Source organism: Homo sapiens, chromosome 1 (assembly GCF_000001405.40).
Source record: "Homo sapiens chromosome 1, GRCh38.p14 Primary Assembly".
Taxonomy (NCBI): domain Eukaryota; kingdom Metazoa; phylum Chordata; class Mammalia; order Primates; family Hominidae; genus Homo; species Homo sapiens.
This window is the reverse complement of record NC_000001.11, coordinates 108,120,618-108,137,022: the sequence shown is the minus strand read 5'-3', so window position 1 is coordinate 108,137,022 and position 16,405 is coordinate 108,120,618. Positions and strand designations below refer to the sequence as shown.

At 42.7% G+C, this 16,405-nt stretch overlaps 1 protein-coding gene across 2 annotated transcripts in view, besides 3 other annotated features; it reads left to right on the top strand.

Moving 5' to 3' along the window:
- The window catches only part of SLC25A24 (solute carrier family 25 member 24), a 66,301-nt gene extending 63,321 nt beyond the window's left edge, over positions 1-2,980 (top strand). For both annotated transcript variants that reach the window (NM_013386.5, NM_213651.3), the window contains exon 10: positions 186-2,980. In NM_013386.5, the coding sequence (NP_037518.3) occupies positions 186-370 (185 nt within the window). In that variant the 3' untranslated portion in view covers positions 371-2,980. The remainder of the gene's footprint in view (positions 1-185) is intronic.
- Positions 11,154-11,293: a silencer, noted in NCBI's record as "fragment chr1:108668352-108668491 (GRCh37/hg19 assembly coordinates)". NCBI's record gives its function as "represses an EF-1alpha promoter that drives an FKBP-Casp9 reporter gene in an ReSE screen in phorbol 12-myristate 13-acetate-treated (for megakaryocytic differentiation) K562 erythroleukemia cells {active_cell/tissue: K562(+PMA)}" and the evidence as "EXISTENCE:reporter gene assay evidence [ECO:0000049][PMID:32094911]".
- Positions 14,797-15,296: an enhancer, noted in NCBI's record as "H3K4me1 hESC enhancer chr1:108664349-108664848 (GRCh37/hg19 assembly coordinates)". NCBI's record gives its function as "activates a minimal SCP1, AML or CMV promoter by ChIP-STARR-seq in primed H9 embryonic stem cells {active_cell/tissue: H9 hESC(primed)}" and the evidence as "EXISTENCE:reporter gene assay evidence [ECO:0000049][PMID:30033119]".
- Positions 15,297-15,798: an enhancer, noted in NCBI's record as "H3K4me1 hESC enhancer chr1:108663847-108664348 (GRCh37/hg19 assembly coordinates)". NCBI's record gives its function as "activates a minimal SCP1, AML or CMV promoter by ChIP-STARR-seq in primed H9 embryonic stem cells {active_cell/tissue: H9 hESC(primed)}" and the evidence as "EXISTENCE:reporter gene assay evidence [ECO:0000049][PMID:30033119]".

Sequence of the window (16,405 nt, the reverse complement as noted above, 5' to 3'; positions counted from 1 at the left end):
AGTTAGGACACTCACTGTTAGGTGCTATACAAAGAGGATCATAAAAGGGATGTTGTCTTGGGCTTCTTGGAATAAATGTTGTCCTTTTACTGTATTTTAGAATATCATTCTGGGTCATAATTGTTTGTTGTCATAATAATGAAACATACTTGAATATTAAATTACCCTCTTTTTTTATTTTTTAGCCATGTTAGAAGGTTCCCCACAGCTGAATATGGTTGGCCTCTTTCGACGAATTATTTCCAAAGAAGGAATACCAGGACTTTACAGAGGCATCACCCCAAACTTCATGAAGGTGCTCCCTGCTGTAGGCATCAGTTATGTGGTTTATGAAAATATGAAGCAAACTTTAGGAGTAACCCAGAAATGATGTTGCATTTTTTGCTTTAGCCTGATAATTGAAACTTTCAACAATCTCTGGAGTGACTTTTTCTCCTCGAATTGAAACAAGTCTATGGCAAAAGAAGCTGCATTTTTTTCACAAAAGGGAAGATGGTAACAATGGTCACTTCAAACTTTTGGGCTAAATTATATGTACACAGAAATGTTCAAAATCATAGTTTTAATGTGTTTTGAAAAGGCCACACAATTATACTTTATCTTTTCTTAATAATCCTGCAAATCTCTGCCCTGAATCCGAAATCTGAAAATGTACTGGCTTGAACAAAATTTGTTTTGTGTGTTAGAGTTATAAATCATTAATCTTTATTTCGGGTGGTTTACGTTTATGCCAGTTCCTTTATATTTAAATTTCTTGTTTTATATATTTTGAATGTCTTTATAGATTTCTTTAAATTTCCTTATAGAACCATTAATAGAAAATCATTACATTTAAAATATACCTTACAGCAAAAGCATCCAAATAAGTATAGGGTTTATGTCCTTATTTTTCTTTCAGCTGAATACGAATGAACACAGTGGTGGAATTTCTGAAGGGAAGTGATGAAATTATATTTATTTCAGTGGGCACTTTTCCATTTTACCACTGTACCATTATTTGGTTCCTGGAGTTATACACTAATTTTCAGTATATTACTGTTAAATTACCAACACAAGGCAATTTATTTGAAAGATTCCGTTTATCCTGCCATTGCTTTGAAAAGCAGCAGGAAACGAAATCCTTTGACTTGTATCAGCTTCTGCAGAGCATCTTTGTTTTCCTTTGTCCTTTGTTTCCTACCTTTTGAATCAGATTCCGTTTTAGTCAGGAAGACTTCTTGGGACCATTCTTAGTAACCTGAAATTTCTTTTTTAATTGCATGAAGTGGATTGATCATGAGCAAATGATGTGCTTATTTCTCCCTCACTGTTGAATATCTTTGAACTTGCTGTTTTCAATATGGGCAGCACAAAGGTGAGAGATACATATTAATAGTAGTATGTATTACTCTTATACATTAGATACCTATATTTAAATGAAAGGCCCAATTTGTAAACATATACATTCATATTCTCTCTTGCCCCAAGTTTTAGGAACATGTTAGGATATAGGAGACTTAATTTATAATAATGAGAGCATTTTTTTATTTTACTAAAGCCATTTTTATAGTCAACTATCTTTTCTTATTTGTGTGATTAGAACTTAGAAAAATATTTACTAGTTGAAGTTATTATCAGTTTTTAATTTAGTTCTTAAACTCATTTCACTTCTAATAATTTCTGTTATAAATTTCCAGCATTTTAATGAAAATCTAATGATGTAATAGGCATTTTCTTTATTTGAACCTACCTCTTTTATTTTCTGAACCAAAGAGAAAGATGGACTGGTGTTTGTGAAACATTTTTAAAAATGTAGTTTCATTTATATTAGTTATGTTTGATAAATGTCTCAGTATTTTTATAATATGATAAGCCTGGGATTCTACTTTTAGGGTTATTTGTACTTTTGAGTAATATATAAAGTGACAATATTAAGGTACATGATCAGCTCTTTCTATTTTTACTCGTAAAAATTATGGAAATGAATAATTTTGCTAACAACTTTGAAATTTCAAACTTCTGGAAAATATGAAAATATTCATTGTTCATTATGAATTTAAATTGTAAGGTATGAATGTGATTTGTCTGTACATCTTGTATCTTTTCCAAAAAATGATTCTGTATCTTTTGGAAAAAAGCCGAGAGTTGAAGATAGTATATTTCTGGTAGTACTGAATATTTACTTACAGTTTCTATCAAAAATATATATTTGTTTCTAAAATTACTTGTTTTCCAGTTTTTATTTTTTTTAGAGAAAATTCTTAAGTCTCAGTTTCCTAATTGAAAAAAAAAAATTATAAATAAAGCAAAAATTGTATCCTACAGCTTAGCTAGCTTAGATGTTTGGCACCAGTTTGAATCATGCTTTTTACAGCTGGCTCCATGTAGTCTTTCCAAACATTTTGGCCTTTCCTGAGCAGCCCTTGTAGATATTGTCTGTATGATGCATTTTGACACAAGGTGATATTTTTTGTGATATCAAAATTCCACATTTACCCATTAGAGTTACAGCCCTGGGGTTCACAGTACCAAGGGGGACCCAGAGCCTCAGGATTGGCCAGGCTCATTTTGCCGTGGAGTATCAGTTTGTCTTGAAATTGTGGGAAAAAATTCTAAGTTGAATTCACTGGTAAGTAATTTTTTAAAATTTCATAATGCAGATTACATCCAAAATTTGATTTAAAAATTAAAACATAAGACTGCAGAGAAATTCTGCATTTCAACTCCAATACTATCCAGACTTCAGAAATAACTTATCAGTTATTTCTGTAAGCTTCTTGCTTACCTGGATACCTGACAGGTGAGATGGCTGTAGCAGACACTGGCAGTTCCCTGCCCACACACCTGTCCCTGTCCACAGCTGCACAAGGCAGCTCTGTGTGCAATTGCCAGCATCTGCTCCTCTGTTCTCAGGGAATCTTTGTTAGAAAAATGCTGCCATATTTGTTTCTCACCTATTAGTCTTGTCTCCCAGTCAAGAGAATAAATTTATGCAAGCAGAGATTGTACTTTACAGTATTTTGTCTTTGAGCTTGGCATTATGTTGCATTTGTAAAAATGTGGCATGGCTTCCTCATCCCCCAATAGGAACTTTGCCAGCCCTTTTGTTCTCATGGAACTTCCTTTTTTGAAAAGAGCACCAAAGGAGTAAAAATACTGTGGAGGGAGCAACCCTCCTTTGCCATATGCTCTCATTGGGAGACATGTGGAGCAGTCTGAAGTCATTTAGGCCACTCTCTGGGAGAGCACATCCTATGATGTTCTCCCAGCCTAGCCCCTTCCACTGTGCTCAAGTCCAAGCTGACCAGCTTTCTGACCACAGTGTAAACAAAGATGATTGTCAGTGGGCCCCAGAATCCTATACCCAGACACTAAGCCACAGCCACTAACCCCAGGCCACTTCAGCATTTATTCCACCAGCATTCACTCACTCATTTGTTCTTGCAGTGTGCATTTAGTAGGCACCTGTTATGGCTTGGCTTTATCCCCATCCAAATCCCATCTTGAATTGTAACTCCCACAATTCCCACATGTCATGGAAGGAACTGGTGGGAGGTGAATGAATTATGGGGGTGGGTCTTTCCTGCACTCTTCTCATGATAGTGAATGAGTCTCATGAGATCTGATGGTTTTAAAAACAGGAGTTTCCCTGCACAAACTCTCTCTCTCTTTGCCTGCTGCCATCCATGTAAGATGTGACTTGCTCCTCCTTGCCTTCTGCCATGATTATGAGGCTTCTTTTGTAAATTGTGCAGTCTTGGATATGTCTTTATCAGCAATGTGAAAATGGACTAATACAGTAAATTGGTACCCGTAAAGTGGGGCGTTGCTGAAAAGATACCTGAAAATGTGGAAGTGACTTTGGAACTGGGTAACAGGCAGAGATTGGAACAGATTGGAGGGCTCAGAAGAAGGCAAGAAAACGTGAGAAAGTTCTGAACTTCCTAGAGAGTTGTTGAATGGCTTAGCCCAAAATGCTGATAGCAATGTGGACAATAAAATCCAGGCTGAGGTGATTTAGGATGGAGATGAGGACCTTGTTAGGAATGGAGCAAAGTTGACTCTTGTTATGTTTTAGCAAAGAGACTGGGGGCGTTTTGCCCCTGCCCTAGAGATTTGTGGATCTTTGAACTTGAGAGAGATAATTTAGGGTATCTGGCAAAAGAAATTTCTAAGCAGCAAAGCCTTCAAGAGGTGACTTGGGTACTGTTAAAGGCATTCAGTTTTATAAGGGAAGCACAGCATAAAAGTTTGGAAAATTTGCAGCCTGACTATGCAACAGAAAGGAAAAATCCATTTTCTGGGGAGAAATTCAACCTGGCTGTAGAAATTTGCTTAAGTAGCAAGGAGCTGTTAATGTTAATCCCCAAGACCGTGGAGAAAATGTCTCCAGGCCATGTCAGAGACTTTATGGCAGCCCCTCCCATCACAGGCCCAGAGGCCCAGGAGGAAAAAGTGGTTTTGTGGGCCAGGCCCAGGGTCCCCATGCTGTGTGCAGCCTAGGGACTTGGTGCCCTGTGTCCCAGCCGTGGCTGAAAAGAGTCAATGTACAGCTCAGGCTGTGGCTTCAGAGGGTGGAATCCCAAGCCTTGGCAGCTTCCATGTGGTGTTGAGCCTGTGGGTGTAAAGAGGTCAAGCACTGAGGTTTGGGAACCTTCACCTAGATTTCAGAAGATGTATGGAAACGCCTGGATGCCCAGGCAACAGTTTGCTGCAGGGGCTGGGCCCTCATGGAGAACCTCTGCTAGGGCAGTGCAGAAGGGAAACGTGGGGTTGGAGCCCCTATACAGTGTCCCTACTAGGACACTGCGCAGTGGAGCTGTGAGAAGAGGGCCACCATCCTCCAGACCCCAGAATGGTAGATCCACAGACGGCTTGTACTGTGTGCCTGGAAAAGCTGCAGACACTCAACACGAGCCCATGAAAGCAGCCGGAAGAAAAGCTGTACCCTGCAAAGCCACAGGGGCAGAGCTGCCCAAGATCAAGGGAACCCACCTCTTGCATCAGCATGACCTGGATGTGAGACCTGGAGTCAAAGGAAATCATTTTGGAACTGTAAAATTTGACTGCCCTGCTGGATTTCGGACTTGCATGGGCCCTGTAACCCCTTTGTTTTGGCCAATTTCTCCCACTGGGAATGGCTGTATTTACCCAATAACTGTATCCCCACTGTATCTAGGAAGTAACTGCTTGCTTTTGATTTTACAGGCTCATAGGTGGAAGGGACTTCCTTTGTCTCAGATGAGACTTTGGACTGTGGACTTTTGGGGTTAATGATGAAATGAGTTAAGACTTTGGGGAACTGGTGGAGGCATGATTGGTTTTGAAATGTGAGGACATGAGATTTGGAGGGCCAGGGGTGGAATGATATGGTTTGGCTGTGTCCCCACCAAAATCTCAACTGGAATTATATCTCCCAGAATTCCCACATGTTGTGGGAGGTACCCAGGGGGAGATAATTGAATCATGGAGGCAGGTCTTTCCCATGCTTTTCTTGTGATAGTGAATAAGTCTCACAAGATCTGATGGGTTTATCAGGGGTTTCCACTTTTGATTCTTCCTCATTTTATCTTGCCGCTGCCATGTAAGAAGTGCCTTTTGCCTCCCTCCATGATTTTGAGGCCTCCCCTGCCATGTGGAACTGTAAGTCCATTGAAACCTCTTTTTCTTCCCAGTCTCAGGTATGTCTTTATCAGCAGTGTGAAAATGGACTAATACAGCAGCCAATGTGGGCTGAGGTCACAACATTGAACAAAAGACTCAGTACTTCTTGTCTAGTGGGGAGAGACAGATGATAAACTATTAAGTAAAACATGTAGTGTGTCAGATGGTGCTAAGTGCAGAAGGGAGAGCTGGGGCTGTGGCCAGGGCTGCAGTTGTACAGAGATTGATAGAGAAGGCCTTATTGAGGAGGTGCTGTTTGAAGGTGGTGCAGGAATGCTCTATACTGAGTCTGGAAAGAGCATCCAGGCAGCAGAGGGAAGCAGATGCAGTGGCCACAGGAGGGAGGAACCTGCAGGAGGCCCGTGTGGCTGCAGGAGAGGAAGCCCAGGGAGGCAGCAATCCAGGAAGCAGAGGGGACTCTGAGGGAGCCACATCATCATTCATTTCTCCATTTCTTGCTTTCTAGTTCTGCAATAGCAGCAGTTTCTTGGGGGTATTCCCTAAATAAGATTCAAATGTCTCTCCTCGGGGGGTGGGGGACACTTGGGGTAGTATCACTGGAAATGATGGAAAATACCTCAGTTTCTGGGAACTGTTATGTCCATCACAGACAGAATAGCTTACTGCTACCTGGACACGTGGGCCCATTCTCCAGGTAGCATGTCTATTGGCTTCTCTGTGCCTCTCCTCCTCCAGGGAGAATTGTAATTTTTAAAAAGAGAATTAACTTAGAAACCTTAAAATCTTTCTAGATATTTTCTGAGAATTACAGAGGATTTTAATCTTAGCAAACTAACAAGGCTCCCACTGTCCTCACTTCCTTCTCTGATCACTTTGTATCTGCCCAGGGTTGGTTGGTTTGTTTATTTGTTTTTAATTTACACAAGTTTGACAATGTTGGAAACAATCCTTTTATTTGATTTTTTGTTTTGTGTTCATTGATAATGTCCTGTTTTAAATTCACTTCCACAAAGTCAAGATAACCATAACAAACAAGTGATTTGTATTTTGTTACTCCAGAAAGAGAGGCTGGTTTGTCCAGGGATTTTAAAGCTTTCTAAAGTACGCTTCGAACCTAAGCTTATTATAGACTCCCAGTTTTCCCTAGTCAGCATGAGTTTACACTCATCTGATTACACCGATTCTACCACACAATCTCAGCCACGGGCTCAGGATGAAGTGGCCTGAATCCCAGCACCTGTAATCAGTGCCTTCTGTAGCTATGTGTCACCCAGCCAGTCTTTGCTGTACTGCAGGGGGTCCCCACATCAATCTTACTGCAGCAAATGGGATGGTAAAAATGTGGTTTTTTCTTTTTTAATTTAAATCAACTTAAGTCCAGCTCCTTAACCACTCAGTGTTGTGCCAATGATCTAGGATGTTGGCCCCTTTGGACACTGGCCATGGTCTACACCACTCACAGCTGAGGCGCCCTTTGTTCTAGCCTGCATGGTCCCTTGGTTCCAGCAGTTGTGCCATGCTTGGGATGGGAGGAGTTGGGAAGACATGGAGTGTCTGTGTCTGGGGTCCGGCCTTTCCATTCTGAAATGGTGATGAGTAGAATGTGGATCTCCCTTAGCCTTGGGACCCACTAACCTTTGTCTTCTTCCAAACCTCCGACCCACCTCTTTTTCTCTTTGCTCTTAAAATTATCCCTCTCCTCTTCCCTCTGAGGCCCCTGTCATCCTCTCTGCAGGTAGCTTCAGTGTTTGCAAAAGACAGAAAAGACTTTGATTGAAAGTGACTTCTGATTTCTACTTTAAAAAATCACCAAGGGAAGGAAATGCTAAAGGCCTGACTCCTGCTCTGAAATGAGAAAAAAGGGAAAATATAGGGACATAAATACAAGTTAGTATTTTACTCAGTTATCTTGCTATAGCCTCTCAAATTGCCTCCTGTCTCCTGGTACTCTGTCTCAGGAGTAAGCCTTGTGCCTTACAGCAGTAGGCTCTGCACATAAAAGGAGATGGCTGTTTTGTTTGTTTTAACATAAACAGATTGTTATACCTATTGAATCTCCAAGTTCCCACAACTATATTGATATGTGGCAATGCAGTTTCACAACCAGACAGTTCAATAAACGGTGTCCAGGTTGAAGGGTCAACTATGTACTTAAAATTCAACCCTTTTCAATGGCCTGGGGAGGAGATGGGAAGGATGGGAGAGGGTACAATTACTTGGAATGCTGAAAAGAATGATAAGGTGAGACTCCCTCTCTGCAAGGAGTCTAGAGCTGTTTCTAAATCTGTTTTGGTTTTGGATGTGTTGGTGAATATGAGTGCAAGCTCTCAGAAGACATGGCTGATAAAGTTGCAAGTGTAGAATTAGAGGTGAAATTGATGAGTTGGGTGCTTGAGTTTCTAAGTAGAAGAATCTGGTGGAATTCTACCAGAAGATGAGGAACATGGTTTAAAGCTCATCCTTTAGTGATCTTTGTTTTTGTCCTGATTTTATTCCCTTCCTGCTTTACTCTTTGTAAAGATGTTCCCCCTTAAGATATAGGGAAATGTTCTATAAGGTAATAAAGCTATATTAAGGCGAACAAAAAGTAAATGAATGGAGACTTTTGCTGGAGTTTGAAAAGTTAGCTATTTTATATGTATGTTTTCTTTGTCTAGTAAAAATGTACGACTATTGTTTTATGGAATTCCAATCAGAGACTGTGGGAGACTTTCTTTACTTTGCTAAGCCTTAATAATTCACTTACTCTTTTTATAAGGCAGTGAGAAACATTCATTGGTCAAATGGTTTGTTCAACAATGTTCTTTCTATTTTATTCACATAGCATTAACTAATAATCTTTCTATTTTATTCATGGTACCATTGACATCATCAACACTTTATTGAGTGTAACTGGATTTATTATAATTAATCACAATAAACTGCACATGTTTAAATTATATAATTTCATAAGCTTTGACATATGTACATACCCATGAACAAAAGATGGTGAACATACCAGTTTCTGAGTACATCAAGAAACCACTGATTGCTTTCTTTCTTTTTTTTTTTTGAGACGGAATCTCGCCCTGTTGCCCAGGCTGGAGTGCAGTGGTGTGATCTCGGCTCACTGCAACCTCAGCCTCCTGGGTTCAAGTGATTCTTCTGTCTCAGCCTCCTGAGTAGCTGGGACTACAGGAGCGTGCCACCATGCCTGGCTAATTTTTGTATTTTTGGTAGAGACAGGGTTTCACCATATTGGCCAGGCTGCTCTCGAACTCCTGACCTCGTGATCTGTCCACCTCGGCCTCCCAAAGTGCTGGGATTACAGGCGTGAGCCACCGCACCCAGCCTGATTTCTTTCTTTCTATCACTGTAGATTCATTTGTATTTCATAGAATTTTATGTAAATGTCTAGCTTTTCACTCTGCAAAGTCAATCAGAGTTATCTGTGTTGTTGCATGTCTCAATAATTTATTCTTTGTTTTGCAGAGTAGTATTCCCTTGTAGGAACATTCCACAGTATGAGACAAGGCCCTGCAGAGAAACTCTACATAGAAAGGGTCTCCATGGGGCTGGGCACTGTGGCTCACACCTGTAATCCCAGCACTTTGGGAGGCTGAGGTGGGCGGATCACAAGGTCAGGAGATGGAGACCATCCTGGCCAACATGGTGAAACCCCATCTCTAATAAAAACACAAAAATTAGCTGGGTGTGGTGGCACATGCCTGGAATCCCAGCTACTTGGGAGGCTGAGGCACGAGAGTCGCTTGAACCCAGGAGGTGGAGGTTGCAGTGAGCTGAGATTGCGCCACTGCATGCCAGCCTGGGTGACAGAGTGAGACTCCACTTAAAAAAAATTAAAAAAAAAAAAATAATAATAATAAAAAAAGAAAGAGTCTCCATGGAACACTTGATCCCTAATTGGCAGAAGAGGTCAAGGAAAAACACTAATGTGAAACAAGGGCAAAAGGTGCAAGAAAATTAAAAGGCAGTTAATAACTTCAGGAAAAATTAAAAAGCTCTAATATAAACGAAATGTGGCTGGGTGTGGCGGCTCATGCCTATATAATCCCAGCACTTTGAGAAGCTGAAGTGGGCAGATCGCTTGAGGCTAGGAGTTTGAGACCAGCCTTGGTAACGTAGCAAAACCCCATCTGTACGAAAAATATAAAAATTAGCTGGGCATGGTGGCCTGTGCTTGTAGTCCCAGCTATTGAGGGGAGAGCAGCTAAGGTGGGAGGATTGCTTGAGCCTGGGAGGTCAGGCTGCAGTGAGCTGTGATTGTGCCACTGCACTCCAGCCTGGGCAACAGAGCGAGACCCTGTCTCAAAAAAAAAAAAAAAGAAATGTAATTATAGTGAACACTAGCTCGGCAGTGAAAAATACTGCAAAGTCACATCATCAATGTGCTTTCAAAATCAAACTGTAGGCCTAAATATAGCTATAGAAGAATGTAAACAAGGAAGCAAATGTAATCAGAAGCTGAGCAGTAGGAGAGAGGAGGTGGGGTGAAAAGGGAAGGATGAGGAAGGTGGGGGTGTGCAAGGCTCTTGCTTACCTGGGTACCCGACAGGTGAGATGGCTGTAGCAGACACTGGCAGTTCCCTGCCCACACACCTGGCCCTGACCACGGCTGCACAAGGCAGCTCTGTGTGCAATTGCCAGCATCTGCTTTGGTGTTGCTCTTGGTGCTGGAGCTTACTTGCTGCCCATGTGACAGGAGCAGCTCTAAACCAGTGGTCGTGAGCTCTGTTTCGCACTGGCTCCCATTTCTACACTGGGTCTGGTGCAGGTGCCTATGGTGGCAGCTGGTGTGATGATTTGCCCTTTACTGATGGCCTTCTCCTCATCTTACTTTCCCATCCTGTCCTTGAATCATCCATTTCAGGATCTGCCTCTGAAAGAACCCAAACTAAGGCAGTCAATCCACCACAGACAGACAAGGAAATAGAAGCAGAGCGTTTTATTTAGAGATTATGGAGGAAAATACGAAAAGAAGCAACTAACAGAACTGCAGGTCATTACCTCTAGGGACCAAGACTAGAGGTGGGAAGGGGCGGAAGAGGAGACCATGCTTTTAAATATATGCATGGCATGTGCTACTTTAATATAATTAAAAACAATCACTTAAAGCAAATTGGAACAGTGTAACAAATGAAATCAAATGAAATCAAAAGGAGAGAGCACAAATATATCTGAGTAACTTGGTCTGTCCCCCAGCCCCCTTAATGTTGTTACCTGAATATGTCAATTGTTGTCAAAAGACAAGCATAAACTGAAATCGATTATTGTATGGATCTGAACCGATGGAAAATATTCTCTGTACAGCAATTTTAAAAGTATAATGGTAATCACTGTGTTAGGGATTAAGTATACTTCCCACCCTGTGTTTTTGCCATTGTATAGGAAAAATCATGCAGAATACATTGATAATCACTGTAGAAATGAGATGAGATTTATTAACTAAAACACTTAGCACTTCACCTGGCACTACTTTATGAAGAAGCACTTTGTATAGGGCACTATGTGTAGTTTATATATATAAAGAAACATTTGTGTATTGGGTTTGAATGTTACTTGTTGTTGTTGAATATTCTTCTGCTAGTCCACCCTGTCCCTGATGGAAGCTATGCCCCCGGATCAGAAACGCTTGATGCTCAAGCGGTCCTGGGAAACCACTATTGCAAGTAACTGTCAGTGCCCTCTACTTTCCACTAGATGGCAGACTTCCCCCAGCTCTGTGGACGGCAGATACCCAGGAGAGGAGGACAGAGCTTCAGATCTTTGCTTTCTCCCTTTCCCTTGACCTGGAAAATCACTGGGCTGCCTCTGAGGCCAGATTTAGATTTCCTGCACAAGCCATCATTACCTTGTTTAGAGGAGTGAAATTAGGGTCGACCTGTCCTGTCATTCCAGGACAGAAGGTGACAAATAAGGTCCTTTATGTGTAGCACTGAGGAGAAGGGCTTGTTCTTAATTTTTAAGATATTTTCCAAAAATAGAAAAATTCTGTTTTACAAGTCAAATAAGAAATGATTGAAAAACAAGTATCACTGTTCATATACAGAGTCGTAGGTAAATGTTCAGATACAAAAATTGTGACCATAGAGCATATTTTTGGATATTTGTTTTCATAGTGTGATGAATATTTTTGTTTGCTTAAAATTATTTCAGAAGTATAATCATAATTCAAGCTTGAAATACAAGAGTGGTAAAATGAGAGCAAAAATAAACAAGTAATAAAACGCACCACAAAATTTCTGACTCCATTCCCTTTTAGGGATTTCTTTTTTTACAAGAGTTATTTTTATTGATTTGTGTGACACACTGGCTGACACGTTTTAAAATAAATAAACTTTGGGTTTCAGATGAACACAGTTTGCATGCTGTCTCTCTGGAACAATACACATCAGAGGAAGAAGTTAATAGGAAAATCAGGCAACCCAAACTGTGTTTTTTAGGTTAATCAGGAATTTCCTTCAATTCTAGTAAACAGGTGGAAATAGAAATTTTGAGCTGAGAAAAGTAGGAATCAGGACGTGGAAGGGAAAAGCTGGGTTCTGCTGCGGTGATGTGGGTGACCCTTCATGATGAGCCAGCTGTCTATTCTCCCAGCTCTCTCCCGGCGGTAGGAACTGAGAAGAGGCGCCCCTCGCTGCAGGCCCTTTGATGCCTCTCCTCTCCCCTGTCCTTTCACCCCCGACTCTGTGAGTTGCTTTTAGATATCGTTCTTTACTTACCAATTGTCTCTTTCTCCCCTGCTTGTTAACGTATCATGAAAAAACTGTGACGTGATGACCCCCCATGAATGCCTCTGGAGGAAAAGTGCTAGAAAATTTAAAAAGAAAATTAAGGTGATAAAACTGGCCTCATTAATCTGTTAAACTCCTTCAACATTGCCAAAAACAGAGGTGAGCTTCTCAGCTCAGTTTCCCCAAAATTCACAGAAAAAATTACTGTGCTTGAAAAGAAAACACAGCGGGCCAGGCGCAGTGGCTCATGCCTATGACTCTAGCACTTTAGAAGGCCACGGTCAGAGAACTGCTTGAACCTAGGAGTTTGAGACCAGCCTGGGAACATAGTAAGACCTCATCTCTACAAAAAAAGGAGCAAAAATTAACCAGGTGTGGTGGTGCATGCCTGTAGTCCCAAGCTACAGGCTGGGAGGCAGAGGCAGGAGGATCACTTGAGCCCAGGAGGTAGAGGTTACAGTGAGCTGAGAGGGCATCACTGCACTGCAGCCTGGGCAACAGAGTGAGACCCCATCCCCTCCCCACAAAAAGAAAAGAAAAACACAGAGGATGTAAAATGGAGCTGAGATAGTGATATTCTGCCCAATATTTTAGGCAGTGCTGGGATTTTCTCACTAAATGATCAATATTGAAAACTAAAATATTTTATTAAAATGAGAAAAAATTATCAAAGTGAAGATTAAAATTATAAGGCTCATTCAAAGAGACGAGGGTGTACTTATATAATCTCCCAGTTTTAACTGCAAGATGTTTCATGACTTATGATGGGGTCATGTCACATCCTGATAAACCCATAGTAAGTCGAAAATAGCATAAGCCAAAAACGCATTTAATACCCCAATAAACCAATCATGAAGCTGAAAATCGTAAATCAAACCGTCACTAAGTTGGGGACTGTCTGTATTGTTTACTTTAATATTTTGGAAAGTTTTTTAGTGTGTGATACCAAAATCTACTTGACATTTAAGCACTGATTAACGCTAATGATTTTCACTGGGTCTTTTTTAAGCCCTAGCACAGCTGTTTGAAAACTTGGCTGAACATTAGAACCACCTGGGCGGGAGCTGGGGTTAGCTTTTAAAACTCTCAGGTCATATCCCAGACCAATTAAAGCAGAATCTCTGGGGTGGGACACAGGCACCAGTATTTTTAAAATTCCCCCAGGTGATTCCAACTGCTGCCAAGGTTGAGAACCACTGCAGTCTGGCTTCATTCTGACCACTGTCTACACATGATGTTAGTAATGGTTGGGATTGAAGGACTATAAATACAAGGACAGTGTTTCCCAGTGCCCTCCCAAGTGGAGGAGGCCAGGAGGGAGAGATGACGGGATTTGCTGACCAATTAGGTAGAGGTTTAAGAGAAGCTGTTAGGCCGAGGCGGACAGATCACTTGAGGTCAGGAGTCCAAGGCCAGCCTGGCCAATATGGTGACACCCCCATCTCTACTAAAAATACAAAAATCAGCCAGGTGTGGTGGTGGGTGTCTGTAATCCCAGCTACTCTGGAGGCTGAGGCAGGAGAATCACTTGAACCTGGGAGGCAGGTGTTGCAGTGAGCCGAGATAGTGCCGCTGCACTCCAGCCTGGGCAACAGAGCAAGACGATGTCTTAAAAAAAAAAAAAAAAAAGAAGAAGAAAAAAAAAGCTGTTGAGTCAAGGATGACTGTAATTGTTTGACCCAAGAAAGACAGAATGACGAAGTTGCTTTTGAGATGGGAAGGTAGCATGAATAACAAGGTGGGCAGAGTGGGAAATGGATAATTGGGTTTGGACACATGAACGTTAAGATGCTCATGAAATATCCAGGTTGAAAGTTCAAGTAGGAAGTTCTGGAATCCAGGGAGGGGTCCAGGCTAGTAGACACACACATTTGACAGTTATCGGCATTTAGATGGTGTTGAAAACCATGCGGTCAGATGATTCTCTAAGGAGTGAGGATAGATAAGGAGGGGATGAAGGCTGGCCCCTCTAGGAAACGGCCAGAGATGAGGAGGGAGCCGTGGAGGTGCTGAGAAGCAGAAGCCAGCAAAGTGGGAGGAAAACATGGGGAATGGGATGGGCCGGGGCCACATCAGGTAAGACGAGGACCCAGAACCGAACCTGCCTCACACTCCTCCTCGGAGGTCACCAGGGGAAGGAGAGGAGGAAAAGAAGCCGGTGGCAGGAAGGAGAGTCCTGCTCCACCACACTGGATTTTCTCCAGCAGCACTGATATTATCCAACGTGTGAGCACAAAGCCGGGTGCCTGATTGGCCCAGAGTGGAACCGGGTAAGTGCTGAGAGCAGAGGGGAGGGAGACTGAGAGTGCTTTGGAGGGACTCTGGTTAGAGCCATTGACTCCGAGTTAGGGGAAAGGAGGAGGTGGAGGCATAGAGAAGTGTAGTTAGTGGTCGATGGACAGGGCGGTCCCAAGGAATTCGAACAAAGGGCTGGGAATGATTGGCAAATAAATTGGAAGGGAAGCCTTGGGCCAGACAGATTTTGAATCATAAAGCTGACAGGAAACAGTTTGGGGTGATGACAATTTCTAGTGACCCAGATACCTTAAAGTCTTTAAGGGGTGAGGGGTGAGCAGCACGGGGGAATGTAACAACAAGGGGTGGGTAAGCGGTCAGACACGGGACCGTCGACGGTGCAGGGGTTTCACACGACGGTCTGTGGTGGTGGGTGGAAGAACTGTGAGGGAGAGGAGGGGGACAGTGAGGGGCACACACAGGCTGCCTGCCACTCTGAGGAGGGCGAGGGGCGTCCTCCTCGGAGGCCTTGGTTCAGTGAGAAGGGAGGCTGGGAGGAGGCACCTGGGCGAGGGCTGGGCGGACCTTTATGATGCAGAGATTTGAGGGCTGAGGAAGGAGGGTCCAGTGAAGACTGGTGCCACGCCTGTAGTCCCAGCTGCTCTCGGAAGGCTGAGGCAGGAGGGCCGCTTGAGCCCAGGAGTTAGAATCCACTCTGAGTAACACAATGAGACCCCGTCTCTAAAACCCAGAAAAAGGCCAGGTACGAGACCGTGCCGGTGCCCCACCAGTCCCCTCCCCTTCCTGAGGCTCCTGCTCCAGGCAGTTCTCCTAGGAGCAGGCCCGGCCTCTGGCTGCACTGGACGAGCGCAAGGCAGATCTGGAGGCCCCCTGCCGGCGGGATGCCAAGATCAGCTGGTCACTAAGTCCCAATGGAGTCATCATCCGTGTTACTAAGAAAGTGAGGGGCCCGCGGCACAAACCACAAGCGGGAGCGAGGAGAATCTGGAAAGCCGAGTGGGAGAGGTAGCTGGAAGGGCCGGCTGCGCGGGCCTGGGAGTATCCTGGAGGTCGGGCATGTACCGGCATTTTTGTGCGGTGATTTTTTCAATTCAGTCCCAAAGAAGTCCGGGGTGGGTGGGCGAGGCGCATCTAAAAGGGCAGGAATGGGATGAGCGGAAGGCACGGTTTCCTAAGAGGGCTATGCAGTAATTACTACAACAGTGACAAGGTTGGAAAGAAAAGAAGGAAACCAAACATTATAAAATATAGAGGCTGTGCCTTTTAAATCAAGAATAGCCAATTAGCCTATTGTGTTATGTAATATCTCATTCATTAGTGATTGAATTACCTCTGGCTGCATGTACTGTTTCCCTGAAGTTAATTTTTATTCCATTATGAAGGAATAAATCAAATCCATTGAAAGGAAATCTGACCTCTTTGCTGTCTACAGGAGGAAGGCCTTGAACCAAGTCTTTTTTGTGGTTTAATATTTTCGGTTTCAACTTAATAAAGAGGAGCCTGAGGGATAAGAAAAGAGGTCGGGTTTTGTCTTTTCCACTTGAAGTGCATAAACAGAATAGAAAGAAGTAATGACATGTAGTCAATTGTAAAGAACATGAAATCAACCCAGAAAATATGAAATGCTGATGGGGATGCACAAGCACCAAGTGTTCGTGGTACCACTGAGAATAATTAATTCAGAAAGTTTTTGCGGATGCCTGCTAACCATCTAGCAGAGCCTTTGCTAGGCGGGAGGCTTGTACAAAGGTAAACAATATGCTGTTTTTCCTTAGAGCTCACAGTCTGCTGGAAAGGCTGACGTGAGAAAA